Genomic DNA, 22,008 nt, shown 5'->3' with positions numbered 1-22,008 from the left:
CCAGAGAGAGCCTAAGCCCCTGCCCTCAAGGGGCTTGCAATCTCCTCAGGGCAGATGGAAGATTACAGATAGATGGGCCCTGGGGAAAGGGCGGCTTAAGATGGAAGTGTTCAAAGTACAAAAAGGAGGCTGAAGGCAAGGAGACGGACAGCGTTCTAGAGCCAGGCTGGTACTGGGCAAGGGGCTGGAAGGCAAGAGTAGGTGAGACAGGGAAGGGGAACCAGAGACAGCTCGTGAGTGCATGTAGAGCCCGGGCAGAGAGAGACAGGGGCTGGGGAGAGAGAAATGCCCACCCACGGGAGGGAGAAGGGGGTGGCCAGGGGAGGGTTGGGCTGGCTGGTGGTGGATATTAAAGAATGGCCTTGCTGGATCTGGATATCTGGCTCTGGGGATGGCTATGTGCCCATTAGTCTCTCTAATTGTCAAAAATCTAATTTAGTGTCTGGAGCCCGGGCCGGCCTCGGGTTAAGTGGAGGGAGGCAGGCCTAGTCATAAATCTGCCCTCACGGCCGGTGCTAATTCTGCAGTTAACTGAGGGGTGAGGTGGGCACAAGATGGGACAGGCAGGGCTCTGGAGAGGGGGTGTCCCTGCATGCCAACCCCCACGTGCTAGGTCATAGCCAGGCTCTCCTCTCTTGCAGGGGGCTCATTCGGACCGTCCAGGGGAAGCGCCTCACATTCGACATGAGCTCAGGGACAGGAGTCGCTCAAGGGTCTGCATGGCCGGGATTGTAAAACTGTCAGCCCCCTCTCCTCCAGGACCCATTCAGGGTCTACGTGGGCTGTGCTCTTGTTAAACGACCAGGGACTGTCCCTCACGGGTGGGAAGGGCACATTTCCTCCATGAAATCATGAGTGTTTGTTGAGGAAAGGAGCATGAGGATTCACACTATGTGAACAAGTGACTGGTTATCCAGTGACTGCTAGGGATGGCCCCAATGATGAGGACCAGGTGACATTCACCTGAGCTGCTTGGGGAGTCATGCCCCATTCCTTAGTGGGGAGAGCACACTCCCCATTGGGCTGCCCAGCCTCTCCTTCCCTGGGCCCGGGTTCATGAGGTGCCTGGGGGTCTGGCCAGCCCCTGAGGACCGCATGCAGCCTGAGGTGGTGCTGGTGGTGGTGGGGGGTTCCAGCTTGGGTTTGGTAATCACCTTGCTCCCCTCAGAGTTGCTAATTGAAAGCAAGGGGTGTTGTAGGCGCAGCAGGAGAGGGTGGGGACTGAGAGCTTCCCTGAGAGGCTCTGCTTCCATGGGGGGACGAAAACAATTTCTCCAGGCTTCACCTCCGTCTCACCAGGCACCCACTTGGCCTCTCCTGCTGCTAACGAAGTGCCTTTAATTAGCAGCCTAATAAAGTGCTCTTAATTGGCAAGAGCCAATCAGGAAGAAGAGAGATCTCCTCCCCTTAGTCATTGCTGATGGTGGCACAGCTATAGGTTTAAAGCAGGGAGGGATTCCTGGCCCAGCCTGGGAGTAGGAAACCACGGCTATAGGGTTGAGACTTGCCAGGGCAGGCCCTAGACCACACCCTTCCTGGGGAAGAGATCTGACACAGTTTGAGGGTGAGGTCCACAAACTCTTAGGCTCAGCCTCTGCTCAGGAGCCCAGCTGGTGAGGAATATTAACTGAGCAGATACCAGTGGCCCCACAGTGGTTCCTCTGACACCTCCCTCCCTTCCTTCTCTCTCTTGGGTGCTGCCTGCCCTTAGTTGTTAGGGAGGATTCTTCAGTGTAGTTTTGGGCAATGTGGGTCCCTTTTCTTTCTCCTCAGTTTCCTCATCTGCCAAGGGTTGGGTGGACCTGATGCTCTGACATTCTTCCAGCTCTAGTAGGGAGGGTTCTGCACAGCGGCCCTGATATTGACCACAGTCTGAGATTGCTCATGGCCAGTGGTCAGTCCAGACAAGACAATGAGACTACAAGGCTGATGGAAGCCAGAGAGCCTTGGTCATGTGGAAGGGTTATTAATACAAAAAGCCCATAGATCTAAAAGAAGGATGGGTCAATTTTGACAAGGATCCTGTTTGTGACACTAGAGAGGGGAGGGGTACAGGGCCAACGGGGAGAGATAGTCCCATTCGGCCACTGCCTGCAACCTTGTACCTCTCCAGGTTTGGCTGAAGGAGGGAAGGGGGGTTTCACTCAAGAACTGCAATGTCATATCCCAGATAGTCAAGGGTGCCTTCATTCTTACAGCTTGTTGGAGCCCCTCTGGAAATTGCTCCCAGATGTGAGCTTGCTTGCCTATAAACTGATCAAATGGGATGTAGGGGAAACTCAAGTCTTTTCACAGCTGAGGGGCAGAGAAAAATGTAAATTCTGCATTCAGGTTGGGCTGTGGTTGGCTAAGGTGACCAATGCACAAATGAGACATGACTTTGGCTTCAATTTAACTCAACATGGAACAGTAGGCGTAAGCCAGGGACCCCACACTCATCCACAGCATCCAGCCCTGCTTTCTCTCAATCTTGTTTTCTCATGTCAGATTATCTGCAAAGGTATTCTATCTCTGCACTCCCTCAGTCTGTATACTGAAAAGTGTACTGCCCTTCTGGATGCTGGGGCAAGGAGACAAGACGCTTAGAAAATTCACTTTAATCTTATATTTGTAATTTACTTTTTTTCTGAACAGTTAAAAAAAACCCAAAACACACTCCATTATCATGATCCTAGGTTGTGAACATATTGGTACACTGACTACACATCACCATAACATAATCACAAAAGTCAAAGCAGTCAGTACTTAAGAGTCTAGAGAACAAAGAGGTGAACCAGCTGAAAGCTCTCGGGGAAGCTTACATGTGTTGTTAGGCCTGTCCCATCATTGGAGTGCACTGGCCATCCCTCAGATTTGTCTGGGCTGGCCTGAGTGGTCACCGCTTTGAGAAAGCTGTTAGTTTCCTTGGTGCCCAGAGGGCTAACACCCTAGTTGGCCTTTTCCTTCAGTGTCCAAGAAGGGGAAGGGTTAGGAGGGGAGGTAACACTTTAAAATACGACTTAACTGCACTGATCCTTAATAAAACACACAACCAATCAGGAGCTAAGAGCGCCAGCTGTGCTGGTTGGAAAGCACATATTTTAGATGTCATCTGCCTCCAGGACATTTTAGATCACAGGTACTCAACTTCCAACAGAAGGAGCTTCTAAAGATCAATGCATTAAGTTCCACCTGAAACCAGGCAGCCATCATCATGCTCTTTTGATTTCTCTCTTCAGCTCCAAGGATTCTGACACCACAGATGAGCTAAAGAAGCGAAACTGTTTTATTCCCCTAAGAAATGGCTCTCTTTCCGATACTATGTTGACACTGTGGTTAAAGGAGGTCTGGTCTGTTGGTGAACAACTGTGTGGAGGAAGACCAGGGAGGCTGCACCCTAAGCCTCCGGGCTGCACTAATCTGGGTTGGACTGCTCTGCTACAGACTGGAGGGTGTTGCCATCTAAGGCAAAAGGGAGATGCTGAGAAGGTCAACAGTACCAAGGTATCTAGTCCAATTATGGGAAAGAAAAAAATTGCCCTGATTATTTCCAGTATTCCCCACCCCTCCCACCTTTGTTTCCCCACACAATCAAGTGCTAAGTAAGGAGTAGACCAACTACAGCTGTTCAGACCAATGGTACCAGGAGCCGGCAAGGGAAGAGTGCATTTTTTTTTCTCTGTAGCTTTAGACTGTACAGAAGAAAAATAAAAAAGGATTGTTCTTACTCAAGCAAAAAAACCAGAATGATGTAGGGGTCTCACAGACTTTTCTAGTTCGGAAACAAGTTATGAGGGCCAGACTTTTATTACTTGTCAATAGAGATCCAAAAAGAGTCCCTGTCTCTGAAGTTAGGAGACACCAGAAAGAATTTTGCCAAGGGACATGTACAAATGGCCTTCCATCCATGATTCACATCCTTTCAAATTGCACACCAAGTTAAAGGATGTTCTCAGCAGTGAAATACACACACGTGCAGCAAGGCATGCTGGTCTTGTCCAAGTAGCTCCAGTGTGCACCAAAAGGTCACGTGTCTGTACCTCCTCATCTGCCTTTGAAGGGGTTTCAGCCTGTCTTTAAGAAAGGTTTCCTTTAGGCCCTACGTTGGAAAGTAAATTTTAGTGAGAAGAGACTAATCTACAATGGGGACACCTTCAGCTCTGTTTCTACCACTCCTTGGAATGTGCTGAGACTTTGTCTCTCTTTTCGTTTTAAAAAGGTCAAACTTTACATTTATTCTAGCCCAGTTGGGGATTAGTGATAATCAATTCCCACTGAAATCATGCAGAGATGGTAAGTGGGGTTTACCTTCTCTGGAAATGAACTTTTAACTTACCTGATTATTTCTTCTACAACAAACTGGTAAATGACCCCCAGAGCTGAGAAATGTGAACGATTCAAGTTTTTCAGACCACTTAACTTCATTCCCATTTCCATCAGCAGGAGAGAGGACAACTTGGAGAATATCCTCAACTGGGCTAATGGCTCCACATCTGCAGGGGTCGCCCCGATCTCCTTTGTGATGTACTGGACATGTCTCAAAACAGTCTTAGAAACAATATTCCTTCAACTGAACCTAGATTGGAGAGCAAAACCCTGGGCACCAATAAACATTCAACAGCTTCCACTTTGTAATAGCAGCATATGACAGAAAGGCTGGTAAAATTATGGCTATTGGGCAATATTTTGAGACAGCTCGAAACCCATGCCTTTTAAATGTCTGACCTGTGTGTTTTTCAGGGCTGACAGCCCTCTACCTTCATCTATAGCAAAATCCTTACCCAATCAAAAAGCCATTAATAGTCAACACAATAGATGACGAACCCTGATAGTGGCCAAGTAGAAAACATTTCTCTGTAGCATTTGGGTAGCTGGGAAGGGAATTACATTGAGAAAATATTTCTTAGGCTACGATGTATCATTATACTGGGAAATATTTTCTGAATATAACCTTGAACTAAAAGCTTAAAAATACTCATAAAGCAGGAAAGGTAGAATGCATATGCATAAAATGACTCTCAATATGTAGTAACAACATTCAGTGGGTACACCTTGGGAAGAGGATACCTTCTTGCCTGGGGAGACCAGCTGGGTGCACATTAATAGTATTCTGTGTGCTCCCAGGTTGGTGTGGCACAGGTACCCTTGCACCTGAAGCCCACTAGCTTGGCAGCTCACACAGCTGCCTTCCGAGTGACTGGGTTTGCCTGACCCTTGCTGAGGTCCAGCTGTTTATGCTGTTCACCAATCGCCACAGACGCTTTATTGGCTGGGGAGAGTGAAGAGCAAAATAAGGTCAGGAGGAGGAAGAAAAGGCAGTTTTTGCCCCATTAATAAACCCTGTGTGCCAAACTTCACCCTGATCCTCTCTCTTAAGCAGCTTTGCCCTTCTGCAAATACTGGGTGTGGGAGAAGCAGAAGGAAGGTTGTGCAGTGCAAGGTTGACACGGTGAGATCAATATTTGAGAGATGATATTTAACTGGCCAAAACAAAACAAAACAACAAAAAAAACAAAAACAGTGTTTTCTCCTGACCATCTCTCTTAAGCTACCTTGATCACGGTCTTGGCAAAGATACAGGCACCTGGGTATTCACAGGCCCTGATGAGGAAATCGGAGATGGAAACCATTACGCAGAATGCACCAAGCGATTGGCTCTGGCCATTTCAAATCTTTCTGTAGGCTGAGCCTTACCAGTGATTTAAGATGAAGTACAATGCTTTTTATTACACACCCAATTGTTAATGAGAGGAAATGCAATCAGCAACTCCTTTCCACACTCTACATGGAATCAAGGAGACTGCTGAGTCCAGAAAAGATGCAGCCATTGATGGAGCCCAGGAAACTTCTCCCCACCCCCTCTGCCTGCCCCCTACCACCAATCCTCCTCTTGGGTGTGGGGAAGAAAGAGAGAGAAGAGTTGCAAATATGATGAGAGTATCATGTCTGAGAATCCACTGTTGCCACAGGGTCACTTGCAGCAAAGGCCTGGGGCTGAAATCTTCACTGAACAGCATTTAACTCTTCCAAGTGTTGCATTTTCTGGCTGATCTGGCTCATGTGAGAGGAGGACACTCTCTTCGTACACTTTCTTCTCAGGTGAAGCAGACAGAGAAAAAAGGTTGAAGGGGCGTAGGGGAGTAGATGGGAAGAGGAACAGAAACAAAGAGAAGGCAGGCAGGAGGCCCAAATCTTCCAGTGTATACATTCTTGTGTTTTCTTTTTCTTGTCCCAGAGGCTATACAGAGGGAACTCTGTCTCCTCCTAAGCATATTGGGGCTGGGCTGCTCTGGCCAGGTGCTTGGCATTCCTGCAGTTAACAGGGAGACACTGGGCACTGGGCTTGAAGCTGCATCCCCCATACCCTAGAAGTGGGTCTCTCCCAGCAGGCTATACAGGGAAACTAGTTCTTCTGCTTAATGGCAAAGCAAGAGAGATTCTGGCAAAACACTAAATATATTTATAAGTCACCTTTGTCTGGAACCAATGGGAAAAAACTAGGTGCAGAGGTGAAAGGAGGAGAGGAGGGGAGGTTTAAAAGTTCCAATCATTCACAAAAGATAGAAGACATCTTCTGATAGCAGCACTGAAGCAGTCAGTTGTGCTGAGTAGACCGTCCTGGGCCGACTGCAGACCAACTGTGTCCCAACAGGAGTCTCAAAGCCCTGCTCCTCGGCTAGTCCAGGGAAACTGGGCAGTAGTTTGATTGTTACTGTTGTTGCTCATCCTGGTATTGGCAGATACGTTAAATACCGCAACTTTAATGGGTCCTGTGTGAAAACAGAGCAAATAGTCATTAGCCCCTTTTTTGATATTTCTTACTTGCTTGAAGACAAAAGAACATTCACTTAGCTGCCAATGGGGAAAAGGCTTAGGGGTCCTTCCTAATGCCTGCTCTCTGCCTATGCCATGCAGGAGCTTCTGTCAAAGGTGACCTGGCCTGATGGGGGAAGTTATACTAAAGGCAGGGCTTGCTGACATGCTCAGGGCTGTGGTGTTCAAGCAGAGTGACTCTGATGTCTTGAGGCTGAGAGTGCCCACGGTTGGCATAGCTTTCACTTGCCCTGTAGAATGGCAGGGCAGGGGTGGGGGATGGTCTGTGGGCCCTGCCTTTTGAGTGGCCATGAGCATGGCGGTGCCAGTAACAGAAGTGGGGGAATCAAGGAAAGCTGGCCTGGCTGTGTGGCTGCAGGGTACCAGCAGTGTAAAGGAGGGGACAGTGCAGTTGAGGATGTGAGCACTAGAAGTGCTCTTGCTATCTTCAAGGACAGCTGTGTGGATGGCAGCTGGAAATGTGGCCTGGAGATTAAGGCAGAGGCTTGGACTGGAGACAGAAATTTGAGTCTTCTACAATGAGATGAGATCTGAAGCCTTGGGAATAGAGAAGGCAGCCTAAGAAGGAACTCAGATAAGGAAGAAAAGCCAGAGACAGGCCGGGTGCGGTGGCTCACACCTGTAATCCCAGTAACTTTGGGAGGCCAAGGGAGGTGGATCACTTGAGCTCAGGAGTTCGAGACCAGCCTGGGCAACATGGTGAAACTCCATCTCTCCAAAAAAAAAAAAAAAATACAAACAATTAGCTGGTCATGGTGTTGTGTGCCCGCGGTACTCAGGAGGCTGAGGCAGGAGAATCACTTGAGCCCAGGAGGTGGAGGTTGCAATGAGCTGACATTGTGCCACTGCACTCCAGCTTGGGTGACAGGAGTGAAGCCCTGTTTCAAGAAATAAAATAAAATAAAATAAAATGAAATAAAATAAAATAAAATAAAAATAATAAGAAAAGCCAGAAACAGACTCTTGGGAGTGAGGGGGAAAGAAGCACAAATAATCAGAGAGTCAGGAAGAATATTAAAAATGGCAAAGTAACACGGAAGTCTAAGGAAGAGAAAATTTTGGGCAAAGGAGGGGGTAGGTATATGGAGATTGCAATATTAATACTCATGACCAGTTTTTCCTGAGGGCATATTATGTATTCGCCACTGTGCTAAGCACTAGGAATTTTCCATGCAGTATCTCCACACAGCCTTCACAGGGTTCCGTGAGGTGAGTGCTGCCCCTCACGTTACTCATCAAGAGATTCAGGGTCTGGGAAGTTACTTGTCTAAGGGCACACAGCCTGTGCGACCTGGCTGAGGAACGACGAACCGTGTCCTCTGTGAGAGAAAGAGAAGCTGAGGACAGCCCAGCTGGGCGTGAATCACTGTCCTCAGCGGAACACTGCAAAGAGAGATGCAGAAACGTGTAGCGAACATGTACTTCCGCCACGAGAACTGAGGCACACGTGGCAAATCCTGACAGCAACGCTCCTCAGCAGCTAGGGCAGCCTTCTCAAACTGGTAACAACCTAGTGTATTCGAACTGGTTAGAACAGCAGGTATGATCTGAATATACCACAATATGTATGGACCACCTGGGTATTTTAGGATCTTCCCCTGCCTGAGAGAGAGGTTGGAGACTTGAGTGGGAGGACATGTGGAGGTCAGAGGTCAAAAGACAGGTCCTCTTTTTGGAGGGTTGAGGAATAGGGATAGGGATATAAAAGCTACTTTTTATATTCCTTTTAAAATCTGCCCTTTTATTTATATGTCAGTGTGAACTTTCACCAAGAGATGTTTCCATTCACACATTAGACATCAGACTGTTTACTTGGCTTGAAAGGTCTCTATTGTAGGTATTGTTTGATCTGGGAACTTAAACATCACAGGCCTTTGGGTCATTACAGTACTTAGTTTTCAAACTGATTCAAATCTCATTTTATTTTCATAACAGTACTACTAGATAACTAGGGCAGGAATGACTAGGCTTACCACACAAGTAGGACCCTAGAATCATCTAGAACTGAGGCTGGCTACCTTGGTGAAAGGCACTGTCCACACTGTGGCAGCTTCAGCCCTGTCTCACATTGTCTGCTTCCTCGGCTTTACAGGAGTTGGTGACCCAAACGGCAGGAGAAAGTTCCATGAACTAGCAACACCTTACAGCTAATATCCCGTCTCCTACCCACAGTGTTATGTACATAATCGATTTCGATACCTGGGCAAGTATGAGGTCAGTGTATGGTTATTTATCTGGAGATGTAGGTGTATGTTCGAGAAGGGGAACGGGGGGGTTCAGCTTGGGCAGCTGGATCATTTAGGAAGTCCCAGATGAGGATTGTGTCATCATGTGAACTACTGACAATCTGGAATTCATCAAACTGTAGTCGAAAAACTCTTCCGGAATGCTCCTAAAGAAGTAGAAACAAAAAGGGTAGGAACTTGAACTACTCAAAATCAATAGGACACAAATTCAGCAACATGTCAAAAGGAGTCTACGGAAAGGCTATGGTTTGCTGTTATAAAGAGGCCAGGCGCAGTGGCTCACACCTGTAATCCCAGCACTTTGGGAGCCTGAGGCATGCGGATCACGAGGTCAGGAGATCGAGACCATCCTGGCTAACACAGTGAAACCCCATCTCTATAAAAATACAAAAAGTTAGCCGGGCTGGTGGCATGTGCCTATAGTCCCAGCTACTTGGGAGGCTGAGGCAGAAGAATTGCTTGAACCTGGGAGGTGGAGGTTGCAGTGAGCCGAGATCACTCCACTGCACTCCAGCCTGGGCAACAGAGTGAGACTCTGTCTAAAAAAAAAATAAAATAAAAATAAATAAATTAAAAAAATAGAGAAAATTTACTTTGGCTAAAGGCAGCATGGAAAAGTCAAATACTAGGCAGCTGTAAACAAAGCAATACTCTTTGGCCAAGACATGCTAAATAGCATGCTATTAATAGTTTCTCATGGCCAACCCTTTTTGGCGTAGGGTGGATGAGAGCATTCCTTACTACCTCCCTGGTTTTTATCTTCTAAGTTCCTTCTACAATCAGAGGTCAAGGATTGGTGAGCAATAAGAAGCAGTATGCTGATAAATGTTTATCAACCAAACTTTGCTACTTTGTAAAACCATCGGTAGATTTCCACGGCATTAAAAACTCCTATCATGGCCAATTATAAGCTAGTCATAGTCAACCAGCTGGCAAAATTCATGAATATCTAATAGTTGGCTCTCATAAGTGAGTATGAGCCTGTTCTAGCACACCACTGGCAGTTACCACCCTGATGAAGATGTAGAATGTTCCCAGCATACTGGAAAACAATCTCACACCCCTTACTAAACAATGTTACCTCCACTCCAATTTTATCATCATCATCTTTTTTTTTTTTTTTTTTTTTTTGAGACAGAGTCTCGCTCTTTCGCCCCTGCTGGAGTGCAGTGGTGCCATCTCAGCTCACCGCAAGCTCTGCCTCCCGGGTTCACGCCGTTCTCCTGCCTCAGCCTCCCGAGTAGCTGGGACTACAGGCGCCTGCCACCACACCTGGCTAATTTTTTGTATTTTTAGTAGAGACGGGGTTTCATCGTGTTAGCCAGGATGGTCTTGATCTCCTGACCTCGTGATCCACCCGCCTCGGCCTCCCAAAGTGCTGGGATTACAGGTGTCATCATCATCATTTTTTTTAGAGACAGAGTCTTGTTTTGTCACCTAGGCTAGAATGCGGTAGTGTGATCATAGCTCACTGTAACCTCAAACTCCTGGGCTCAAGTGATTTTCCTGCTTAAGCCTCCCAAGTAGTGAGGACTATAGACTCATGCCACCACACCTGGCTTTTTTTTTTTTTTTTTGTAGAGATTAGGTCTTTTTGTTGCCCAGGCTGGTCTTGAACTCAAGACCAAGCAGTCCTTCTGCCTTGGCCTCCCAAAGCTCTGAGATTATAGGTGTGGGCCACTGTGCCTGGCCCAATGCTGTTATTGTTATTAATTTGTTTAGTCTCTTACTGAATTTCATATAAATATAATCATATAGTATGTATTCTTTTGTGTCTGGCTTTTTTTTTTTTGAGACAGAGTCTCGCTCTGTCGCCCAGGGTGGAGTGCAGTGGCGCGATCTTGGCTCACTGCAACCTCCGCCTCCTGGGTTCAAGCGATTCTCCTGCCTCAGTCTCCTGAGTACCTGGGATTACAGGCACATGCCACCACACCCAGCTAATTTTTGTATTTTTAGTAGAGACGGGGTTTCACCATGTTGGCCAGGATGGTCTCGATCTCCTGACCTCGTGATCTGCCCACCTCGGCCTCCCAAAGTGTTGGGATTACAGGCCTTAGCTACTGTGCCCAGCCATGCCTGGTTTTTCTTTTTTGGAGATGGAGTCTTGCTCTGTCGCTCAGGCTGGAGTGCAGTGGTGCAATCTCGGCTCACTGCAACTTCCGCCTCCCAGGTTCAAGCGATTCTCCTGCCTCAGCCTCCCAAGTAGCTGGGACTACAGATGCCCCCCGCCATGCTTGGCTAATTTTTTGTATTTTAGTAAAGACAGGATTCCACCGTGTTGCCCAGGCTGGTCTCCAACTGCTGAGCTCAGGCAATCTGCCGGCCTCAGCCTCCCAAAGTGCTGGGATTACAGACATGAGCCACTGAGCCCAGCTCATGCCTGGCTTCTTTTAGTCAACATTATAAGATTCTTCTATGTTGCTGCATGTAAAACAGTAGTTCATTCTTTTTTATTACTGGTTGATATTCCACTGTATGAATATACTACAATCCATCTATTCTCTTGTTGGTGGACATAGGGGCTGATTATAGTTTATGGCTATTATAAAACAAAGCTGCTAGGAACATTTATGTACGTGTCTTTTGCTGAATATATGCACCCATTTCAACTAGGAGTAGACTTGCTGGGCCACGGGGTAGGTGTATGTTTGGCTTTAGAAGATACTATGAAACAATTTTTTAAAAGTCATGCCAATTTATACTCACACCAACAGTTTATCAGAGTTTGTTACTCCACATCTTCACCAAAAATTGATATTACCAATCTTTTACATTTATTTTGGTAGGTTTGTAGTAGTATTTTACTATAATTTTAATTTGCATTTTTCTTTATGAAGTTGAGGAAAAGCCTCTCTATCCCTTGTTTGCTGAGAGTTTTTATCATGAATGGGTGTTGGATTTTGTCAAATGCTTTTACTGCATCCATTGATATAAGCATGTGATTTGTCTTCTATAGCCCCCTGATGTGATGGATTACACTGATTGATTTCTGAATGCTGAACCAGCCTTGCATACCTGGCATAAATCTCACTTGGTCACAGTGTATAATTCTTTTCATACATTGTTGGATTTAATTTGCTAATATTTTGTCGAGATTTTTTAAAAAATTTCAGAGTTACTACATTTTATTGGCACATTATTACATTTTAAAATATTTTAGAAATCATGAAATTGCTAAACATAAGGGCAATAATAAGACCATACATGGCCGGGTGCAGTGGCTCACGCCTATAATCCCAGATCTTTGGGAGGTTGAGGCAGGTGGATCATGAGGTCCGGAGTTTGAGACCAGCCTGGCCAACAAGCAGAAACCCAGTCTCTACTAAAAATACAAAGATCAGCTGAGCGTGGTGGCAGGCACCCGTAATCCCAGCTACTCAGGAGGCTGTGACAGGAGAATAGCTTGCACCCAGGAGGTGGAGGTTGCAGTGAGCCGAGATTGCGCCATTGCACTACTCCAGCCTGGGTAACAAGAGTGAGACTCCGTCTCAAAAAAAAAAAAAAAAAAAAAAAAAAGAAAAACCATATATTTACTTATTTATTTTGAGATGGAGTTTCGTTCTTGTCACCCAGGCTAGAAATGGTGTGATCTTGGCTCACTGCAACCTCCGCCTCCCGGGTTCAAGCATGAATCAAATAGTTTAAAATACAGATGCTCCTCAAATTACAATGGGTTACATCCTGATGAACCTGTTGTAAATGAAACTATCCTAAGCTGAAAATGCATTTGATCTGCCTAACCTATTGAACTTCATAGCTTAGCCATTATTAGTCTGTATTTTTCTTTTCCTATATTGTGTTTGTCTGGTTTTGGTTTTAGGGTAATGCTTCATAGATGAGTTAGTAAGTTATTCATTCTGTTTTTATCTTATAGAAGAGATAACAGAAAATTGATATAACTTCTTCAAATGTTTGGTAGAATTCACCAGTGGATCTGCCTAGGCTTAGTTTCTCTGTTTGGAAAGATAATTATTAAGTATTGATTCTGTGAAGATCTGGGATCTCTTTCATTTCTGATATTAGTACATTATGTCTTCTTTGTTTTTCATAGTCTGGCTAGAGACTCATCCATTTTATTGATCCTTTCAAAGAACTAGCTTTTGGTCTTGATGTAATCCATTGATTTCCTGTTTTCAATTTCACTGATTTCTGGTCTAGTTTTTGTTATTTCTTTTCTTCTACTTACTTTGAATTTAATTTGCTCTTTTCTTAGTTGGCTCTAGTAGAAGCTTAGACTATTGATTTTAGACCTTTTCTAAGATATGCATTCAGTGCTATAAATTTCCCTCTAAGCACTGCTTTCACTGCATCCCACAAATTTTGATAGCTGTGTTTTCATTTTTATTTACTTCAAAATACTTTTCAAAACATCACATGTTCCCCATAAATATATAAACCTACTATGTACCCACAAAAATGAAAAGTAAAAATTAAAAAAAAATACATTTCAATTTATCTTGCAATTTCTTCTTGACCTACGTGTTATTTAGAGGTGTGTTGTTTAATCTCCACATATTTTGGGATTTTTCAGCTATCTTTCCATTAGTGAATACCACTGTAATCTGAGAGCATATGCTGTATGATTTCTACTCTTGTAAATTTTTTAAGGTACCTTTTATGGCCCTGACTGTGGTCTGCCTTGGTGTAATTTCCTTGGGAGCTTGAGAAGAATGTGTATTCTGCTGCTGTTGGATGAAGCATTCTATAGTTGTCAATTATATCCACTTGATTGATGGTACTGCTAAATTCAACTATGTTCTTACTGAATTGGCTGCCTGCCAGATCTGTCCATTACTGATAGGGGGTGCTGAAGTCTCCAACTATAACAGTGGATGCATCTATTTTTTCCTTGCAGTTCTATGGTTTTTTGCCTCATATGTTTTGATGCTCTGTTGTTAGGTGTGTACACATTAAGGATTGTTAGGTCTTCTTGGAGAACTGGCCCCTTTATCCTTATACAACACTTCTCTTTATCCCTGATAATATTCTTTGCTCTGAGGTTTGCTCTCTCTCTAATTAATACAGCTACCCCAACTTTCTTCTGACTAGTGTTAGAATGGTCCATCAGGGCTAGGGGTGCCATAACAAAGTATGGCATACACTAGGGGGCTCAAAAAATAGAAATTAATTTCCCTACAGTCTGGAGACTAGAATTCTAAGATCAAAGTGTTGGCAGGGTTGGTTTCATTCTGATGCTTCTTCCTTTGACTTGTAGATGGTCATCTTCTCCCTTTATCTTCACATGGTCTCTGTGTGTCCCAATCTCCTCTTGTTTTAAGGACACCAGTCATATTGGATTAGGGCCTACTCCAATGACTTCATTTAACCTTATTTACCTCTTGAAAGCTCCTATAACTCCAAATACAGTCACATTCTGAGGTACTGGTGGTTAAGACATCATATAAATTTTAGGGGAACACAATTCAGCCTATAACATGTGTTATATCTTTCGCTAACCATTTACTTTTAAGGTGTATGTGTCTTTATAGTTAAAGTAGCTTTCTTGTAGACAACATAAGTTTAGCCTTCTTCTTCAAATTGCTCTGACAATTTCTATTTTTTTAATGTGAAGTAGGAAAAATACAAACAAAACCACACCAAGACACATCATAAGCAAATTGCTGAAAACTAATGATAAAGAGAAAATCTTAAAAGCACCCAGAGGAAAAAGATACAGAATGGAGATGAGTGACTTCCAACTTCTAGTCAGAAACCAAGCCAGAAGAAAATGGAATGACATCATTAAAGTGCTGAAAGACACTGTCAATCTAGCTTTTTTTCTTTTTTTTTTTTTGAGACAGGGTCTCATTCTCACCCAAGCTGGAGTGCAGTGGCATATCTGTGGCTTACTGCAGCCTCAATCTCCTGGACTCATATGATCCTCACACCTCAGCCACCCAAAAGTTGTTGCACTGGGCACGTGCCACCATGCCCAGCTAATCTTTGTATTTTTGAAGAGAAGGGGTTGCCATGTTGCCAGGCTGGTCTTGAACTCCTGAGTTCAAGCAATCCACCGCCTCAGACTCCCAAAGTGCTGGGATTACAGGTGTGAGACACCATGCCTGGCCTATATAGAATTATTTAGCCAGCAAAAATATCTTTCAAAAATGAAGGCAAAACGAAAACTTTTTCAGAGCCAGGCGCAGTGGCTTGCACCTGTAATAATCTCAGCTACTCAGGAGGTTGTGAGGCAAGAGGATTATGTGAGGCCAGGAGTTCAAGACCAGTCTGGGCAACACAATGAGACCCTATCTCTAAAAAAATAAAGAAAATTAGCCAGATATGGTGGCACAAGCCTGTAGTCAGCTATGTGGGAAGCTGTCAGGAGGACTGCTTGAGACTAGAAGTCCAAGGCTGCAGTGAGCTATGATCATGCCACTGCATTCCAGCCTGGGATATAGAATGAGACCCCATCCCTTAAAAAAAAAAAAAAAAAACTTTCCCAAGTAAACAACAAGTGAAAGTATTTGTCACCAGTGTACCTGCATACATGAAATGTTAAAGTAAGTTCTTTAAGCAAAAGGAAAATGTATCAGATGGAAATAGAATTTATACAAAGGAATGGGAGGCAATAGAAAAGGTAAACGTGTGGGTAAAAATAAACTCTCTTTTTTCCATTAAAAAATTTCTTTAAAAGGCCAGCTGCGGTGGCTCATGCCTGTAATCCCAGCACTTTGGGAACCTGAGGCGGGCGGATCACGAGGTCAGGAGATCGAGACCATCTTGGCTAACATGGTGAAATCCCATCTCTATTAAAACTACAAAAAATTAGCTGGGTGTGGTGGCGGGCGCCTGTAGTCCCAGCTACTCTGGAGGCTGAGGCAGGAGAATTGCTTGAACCTGGGAGGCGGAGGTTGCAGTGAGCCAAGATCACGCCAGTGCACTCCAGCCTGGGTGACAGAGCAAGACTCCGTCTCAAACAAACAAACAAAAAAATCTTAAAAGATGGTTGATTGTTTAAAGCAAAAATAACAAGTGCTGTGGGGATGATAACATATTTAGAAGTAAAATCTGTAGCAACAATAGCATAAAGGATGGGGGTGAAAAATGAACATATAGTGTTTTAAGTTTCCTACATTATACATGAAGTGGTACAATATCATCTGATAGTAGACTGCAATAAATTAGAGATAACTATTGTAAACCCTAGGTCCCTCCTCACCAAATTAGTGAGATATAACTAAGAACCCATAATAGGAGCTAAACTGAGATAAAAAAGAAAAAAAAAAGAGCATGAAAACAGGAGGTAACAAACAAAAGCAAAAAATGGAAAATAAATAGCAACATGATAGATTTAAATCCAAACATACAAAAATTACATAAATGGTCTAAACATGACAAAGGCAGAGATGGTCAGGCTGGATTAAGAAAAAAAAAAAACAAAAAAAAACATGGCCCAACTATATGCTGAATATGAGAAATTCATTTTAAATATAAAGACACAGGCATATTAAAAGTAAAAGAATATAGTAAGATACACCACACAGACACTAATCATAAAAAAGCAGAATGTTTACATATAATATCAAAGTATTAATTTCCCAAAACAAAGAATACTATAAACATCAAAGAAGGACATTTCATAATGTTAAAAAGTCAGTTAATCACTAAGACAAAAATCCTAAGCACGCAGGTACCCAATAATAGAGCTTAAAAATACAAGAAGTGGCTGGGTGCGGTGGCTCACGCCTGTAATCCCAACACTTTGGGAGGCCGAGGTGTGTGGATCACCTGAGGTCAGGAGTTCGAGACCAGCCTGCCCAACATGGCAAAATCCTGTCTCTACTGAAAATACAAAAAATTAGCCAGGTGTGGTGGCAGGTGCCTGTAATGCCAGCTACTTGGGAGGCTGAGGCAGGAGAATGGCTTGAACCCAGGAGGCAGAGGTTGCAGTGAGCCGACATCGTGCCACTGCACTCCAGCCTGGGTGACAAGAGAGAAACTCCGTCTCAAAAACAACGACAACAACAAAAAAAACCATGAAGCAGGCCAGGTGCCATGGCTCATGCCTGTGATCCCAGTACTTTGTCGAGGTTGAGCCCAGGAGTTCCAGACCAGCCTGGGCAATGTGGCAAAACCCCATCTCTAAAAAAAAATACAAAAAAATTAGCTGGACGTGGTGGCGCACGCCTGTGGTCCCAGCTACTCAGGAGGCTCAGGTGGGTGGATTGACAGAGCCTGGGAGGTTGAGGCTGCAGTGAGTCATGGGTGTGCCACTGCATTCCAGCCTGGGCGGCATAGTGATACCCTGTCTCAAACAAAAACCACGAAGCAAAAGCTGTCACAACTGTAAGGAGAAATAGACAAATTCAAAACTATAGTGGGAGACATAAAAATTCCTCTCTCAATAATTGGTAAGGACGAATAGAAAAATCACTAAGGATACAGAAGACCTGAATATTATAAACCAACTTGACTTAATTGACATTTTTTGGGATGTGGCTAAAGTAGTGATTAGAATTACTTCTAATAACATTTATAGCTTCAACTGATTATATTTAAAAAAAGGTTCAAAGTCAATGATCTTAGTTTCTACCTTAAGAAGCTAGAAAAATAAAAAAAAAAAATCAATGAAACCAAAAAAGGAAACAGGACTATGCTCCTAACAGGCATTAAAAGGATAATAAGGGAATATGATAACTTTATTTCAATAAATTTCATAATTTAGATAAAACGGCCAAACTGCTTGGAAGACAAAAGTATTAAAGTGGACTTCAAAAGAAATATTAAATCTGAAGAGTGCTGTATTTATTAAAGAAACTGAAGTTGTAATTAAAACTTTCCACAAAGAAAATTCCAGGTCTAGATGCTTCACTAGTGAATTCTATCAAGCATTTAAAGAAGCATAATATCACATATGCAAACTCTTAGAAAATAGATGAGGGAACACTTCAAAATTTTATAAGGCCAACATTATCATGACAGTCAACCAGAGACACAGAAAATAAAGCAACAAACCAATATCCCTTACAAACACAGATACACACACACACAAAAATCCTTAAAAAGATATTAGCAAGGTGAATCCAACAACACATAAAAAGAATTATACCTCATGAACAAGTGGTGTTTATACCAGCAATGCAAAGGATTTAAAGCTAAAAAAAATTCAATGTAATATACCAATTAACAGAATAAAAGTGAAAAACCATATGATTATCTCAATGGATGTAGATAAAGCATTTCACAAAATCCAACATGTGTTCCTCATTAAAACTCTCAGCAATCTAGGAACAGAAGGGAACTGCCTAATCCCCTGATAATGGGTCACTATGAAAAACCCTAGGCCGGGCGCGGTGGTTCACGCCTGTAATCCCAGCACTTTGGGAGGCTGAGGTGGCTGGATCACGAGGTCAGGAGATCGAGACCATCCTGGCTAACATGATGAAACCCCGTCTCTACTAAAAAATACAAAAAATCAGCCGGGCATGGTGGCACGTGCCTGTAGTCCCAGCTACTCAGGAAGCTGAGGCAGGAGAATGGCGTGAACCCAGGAGGCAGAGCTTGCAGTGCGCTGAGATCGCGCCACTGCACTCCAGCCTGGGTGAAAGAGCGAGACTCCGTCTCAAAAAAAAAAAAGAGAAAAACCCTATAGCTGACATACATCTATATATACACATATGTGAAACGGTGAAAGACTGAATGCCTTTCGCCTAAGATCATGAACAAAAAAGGGACATTCACTCTTACCAATTGTTTTTAACATTGTACTGGAGGTCTTAGCCAGTGCAATTAAGAAAAAAAAAAAAGAGGGAGAGAGAAATAAAAGATACATAGATTGGGAAATAAGTAAAAGTATATTTCTATGTATTTGCAATGAACAATCAGAAACCAAGGTTTAAAAATACCTTTTCCAATAGCATTAAAAATACAAAATATTTAGGGATAACTGTGACAAAAAGATGTGCAAAACCTTTATACTAAAAGCTACAACGTGGCTGAGAAAGTTAAAAAGACCTAAACAAATGGAGAGATAAAGACTCAATATTGTTCAGAAGTCAATATTCTCCAAACTGATCTACAGTCAACACAAGTCCAACAAAAAACCCAGCAGATGGAGTGGCTCAGGCCTATAATCCAAGCACTTTGGATGTCTGAGGTAGGAGTACTATTTGAGGCCAGGAGTTTGAGACCAGTCTGGGCAACACACTGAGACCCCATACCTATTTATTTATTAAAAAATTAAAAAACATTCCCAGCAGACTTTTTTGGTTGAACTTGGCAAACTGATTTTAAAATTAACATGAAAAATCAAAGGCCCCAAAAAACTTTGAAAAAGACAAAGCTGAAGGACTCACATTACTTGACTTCAAGAGTTGGTAAAAAGCTGCAGTAATCAAAATAAAATTATACTGGAATCAAGACAGACAAAAATCAATGGAACAGAACAGATTCCCAAAGAAGACTCACACATATATGGTCAATTCATTTTTGACAAAGCTGCAAAAGCATTTCGAAAGGACAGTCTTTTGAATAAATGGTGCTGGAACAACTGGATATTCATGTGTAAAAAAGCCCAACCCTTTGATCTACACCTTGTACCATATGCAAAGATTAACTCAAAATGGATCATAGACCAAAATACAAACTGAAAATTATAAAACTTAGAGAAGAAAACACAGGGAAAAATCCTTGTGACTCTGGATTAGTCAAAGGTTTTTCTGAGATACAACAGCAAGTAACATAGGCCATAATAGAAAAAGTCAATGCAGTAGACTTAAAATTAAGAACCGCTTTTTGAAAGACACTTTTAAGAAAACAAAGAAACAAATTTTATGAACGTGGAGAAAATACTTGTGAATTACATCTGATAATGCATTTGTAACTTATAATATATAAAAGAATCTCAAAACTCAATAACCACTCAATTAAAAAATGGGAAAAGATTTGAACACACTTCACCAAAGGAGATATACAGATGGCAAAGAATAGATGCTTGACATTATTAATCATTAGAGATACACGAATTAAACCACAATGAGAATGACTAAATTACAGACTGTGCTCAGTACTGGCAAGAATGTGGAGTAACTGGAACTCTCATACACTGCTATATACTATAATGTAAAAGGGTAAACCACTTTGAAAAACAGTTTGGCAGTTTCTAAAAATTTTAAACATACACTTACCATATGACCTAGTCATCTGCTCCTAGGTATTTACCTCAGAGAAATAAAAGCAAAAAGCATACATTCATCCCAAGACTTCTACATAAATGTTTATAGAAACTTTGTTAATAGCCAAAAACGAGAAACAATCAGTGAATGGGTATAACCATACAATAGAATACTACTCAGCAAATTTTCAAAAGAAATGAAATATTGATATACATCAGCAACATGTAGTGCCACTTCACTATAGCCTGGGTGACAGAGGAAGACCCTGTCTTATACATACACACATAAATCCAACAAGGAAGACAAGAAATGTAACCTCTTTCTCTTCTCCAGAGCCAAGAATGCCTAAATGATGACAGTCAGGATTTAGAACACTGGGCTTCAAATGCTTGCTCTCATCTTTTCTCCGAGTGGTGTCTGTCCACCCTGTTGCTCCAACTAATTTTCTAATGGAAGCAGCATTTATCAATCTGGGCCCTTGGCTAACAACATGATAAATAATTTAGTGCATTCCTCCTTTTGAATCACTTTTTTCCCCAAATGTCAAAAGGGGGTATATGGGGAACAAAAAAGATGGGCTCAAGTTGCTGGAGGCACTACCTCATGAATAGGCTGCAGAACTAAGGGGTTGACCAGGGGGATTCATGCAGATTCCCAGGGCAGTTTTTTTTTTTTTTTAAGACAGAGTTTCGCTCTTGTTGCCCAGGCTGGAGTGCAAGCATGATCTTGGTTCACTGCAACCTCCGCCTCTCAGGTTCAAGTGATTCTCCTGCCTCAGCCTCCTGAGTAGCTAGGATTACAGGCACCTGCCACCATGCTTGGCTAATTTTTTTTTTATTTTTAGCAGAGATGGGGTTTCACCGTGTTGGTCAAGCTGGTCTTGAACTCCTGATCTCAGGTGATCCATCTGCCTTGACCTCCCAAAGTGCTGGGATAATAGGCATGAGCCACCGCACCCGGCCCCCAGGGCACTTTTTGAAGGCACAGGTGTACAGGTCCTCAGATTTTGGACAGGTTCCAATTTGAATAATTATATTCTCTCTCCCTTAGTACCCCCTGCTGTTTCTGGTGGATACAGAATTCTTATTCACTCCCTGCACTAAACTGTTGTGTAGAGTTGCTGTGCAGCTGTTAAACAGCTGCCACATTTCTCTCCATATATAGTCTCTAAAGCATTTTTGGATGAAAGGAATTATATAAACATATTTTATTGTCATGTACTGGTTGCCTTACCACTTAGTTGTAGGTTTTGTGAGGTTGTAACTATTAAATTCAAATCCATATTCCACAGCACATCAACGTTTAATTTCTTCCCCCACCTGCTCTCCAATGCTCTCTAAACAGCAAGGCTCTTACCACAAGGGTCCGTAGACAGAGTGTCCCTGCAGGAGCACGGGGGTCCAAAGCAGCCACAAGATCCCACACTTTAATTTTTCTAAAGATCAAAAAGGGGACAAAAATGTTAGTTAAAAGCAAATGTAAGAGAAGGCAGGGAAGAATAGCAGAAATTCATGGCAATAAATATGGATGGTGAGTATAGTTCAAATGTACGTGATTAACCTACAAATGAGAAACAGGCTAGCTTTAACCAAACTGAAGACAGTTAACAGTAAAGTTATACCATACTTTGGGATCAAGAGGAGATCTTGTACATTAGACCTTTTAATGATATTACACAGACCTAGAAATCTACAACTGTGAAGCATCCTCTTCCTGGGCACTTCTAAGAGTGGCCCAGGTCACATGTACTGAGGGACTGGGGTCCATGTAAGAGCAATGGAGTTTATATAAGCAAGCCCTCATCTTTTGATTTAAATAAGATAAGTGTAGCT

The 22,008-nt window shown here is 43.0% G+C and overlaps 1 protein-coding gene across 14 annotated transcripts in view; it reads right to left on the bottom strand.

Moving 5' to 3' along the window:
- Nucleotides 2,591–22,008, bottom strand: part of BTRC (beta-transducin repeat containing E3 ubiquitin protein ligase) — a 203,266-nt gene continuing 183,848 nt past the window's right edge. For all 14 annotated transcript variants that reach the window (XM_047425986.1, XM_006718054.3, XM_017016870.2 and 11 more), the window contains 3 exons: nt 21,533–21,611; nt 9,013–9,205; nt 2,591–6,749 (listed from right to left, as the gene is read on the bottom strand). In XM_047425986.1, the coding sequence (XP_047281942.1) occupies nt 9,044–9,205; nt 21,533–21,611 (241 nt within the window). In that variant the 3' untranslated portion in view covers nt 2,591–6,749; nt 9,013–9,043. The remainder of the gene's footprint in view (nt 6,750–9,012; nt 9,206–21,532; nt 21,612–22,008) is intronic.

The sequence above is a fragment of the Homo sapiens genome, chromosome 10 (assembly GCF_000001405.40).
Source record: "Homo sapiens chromosome 10, GRCh38.p14 Primary Assembly".
Classification (NCBI taxonomy): domain Eukaryota; kingdom Metazoa; phylum Chordata; class Mammalia; order Primates; family Hominidae; genus Homo; species Homo sapiens.
The sequence above is the reverse complement of the archived record's forward strand: the minus strand, read 5'-3'. Positions and strand labels throughout refer to the sequence as shown.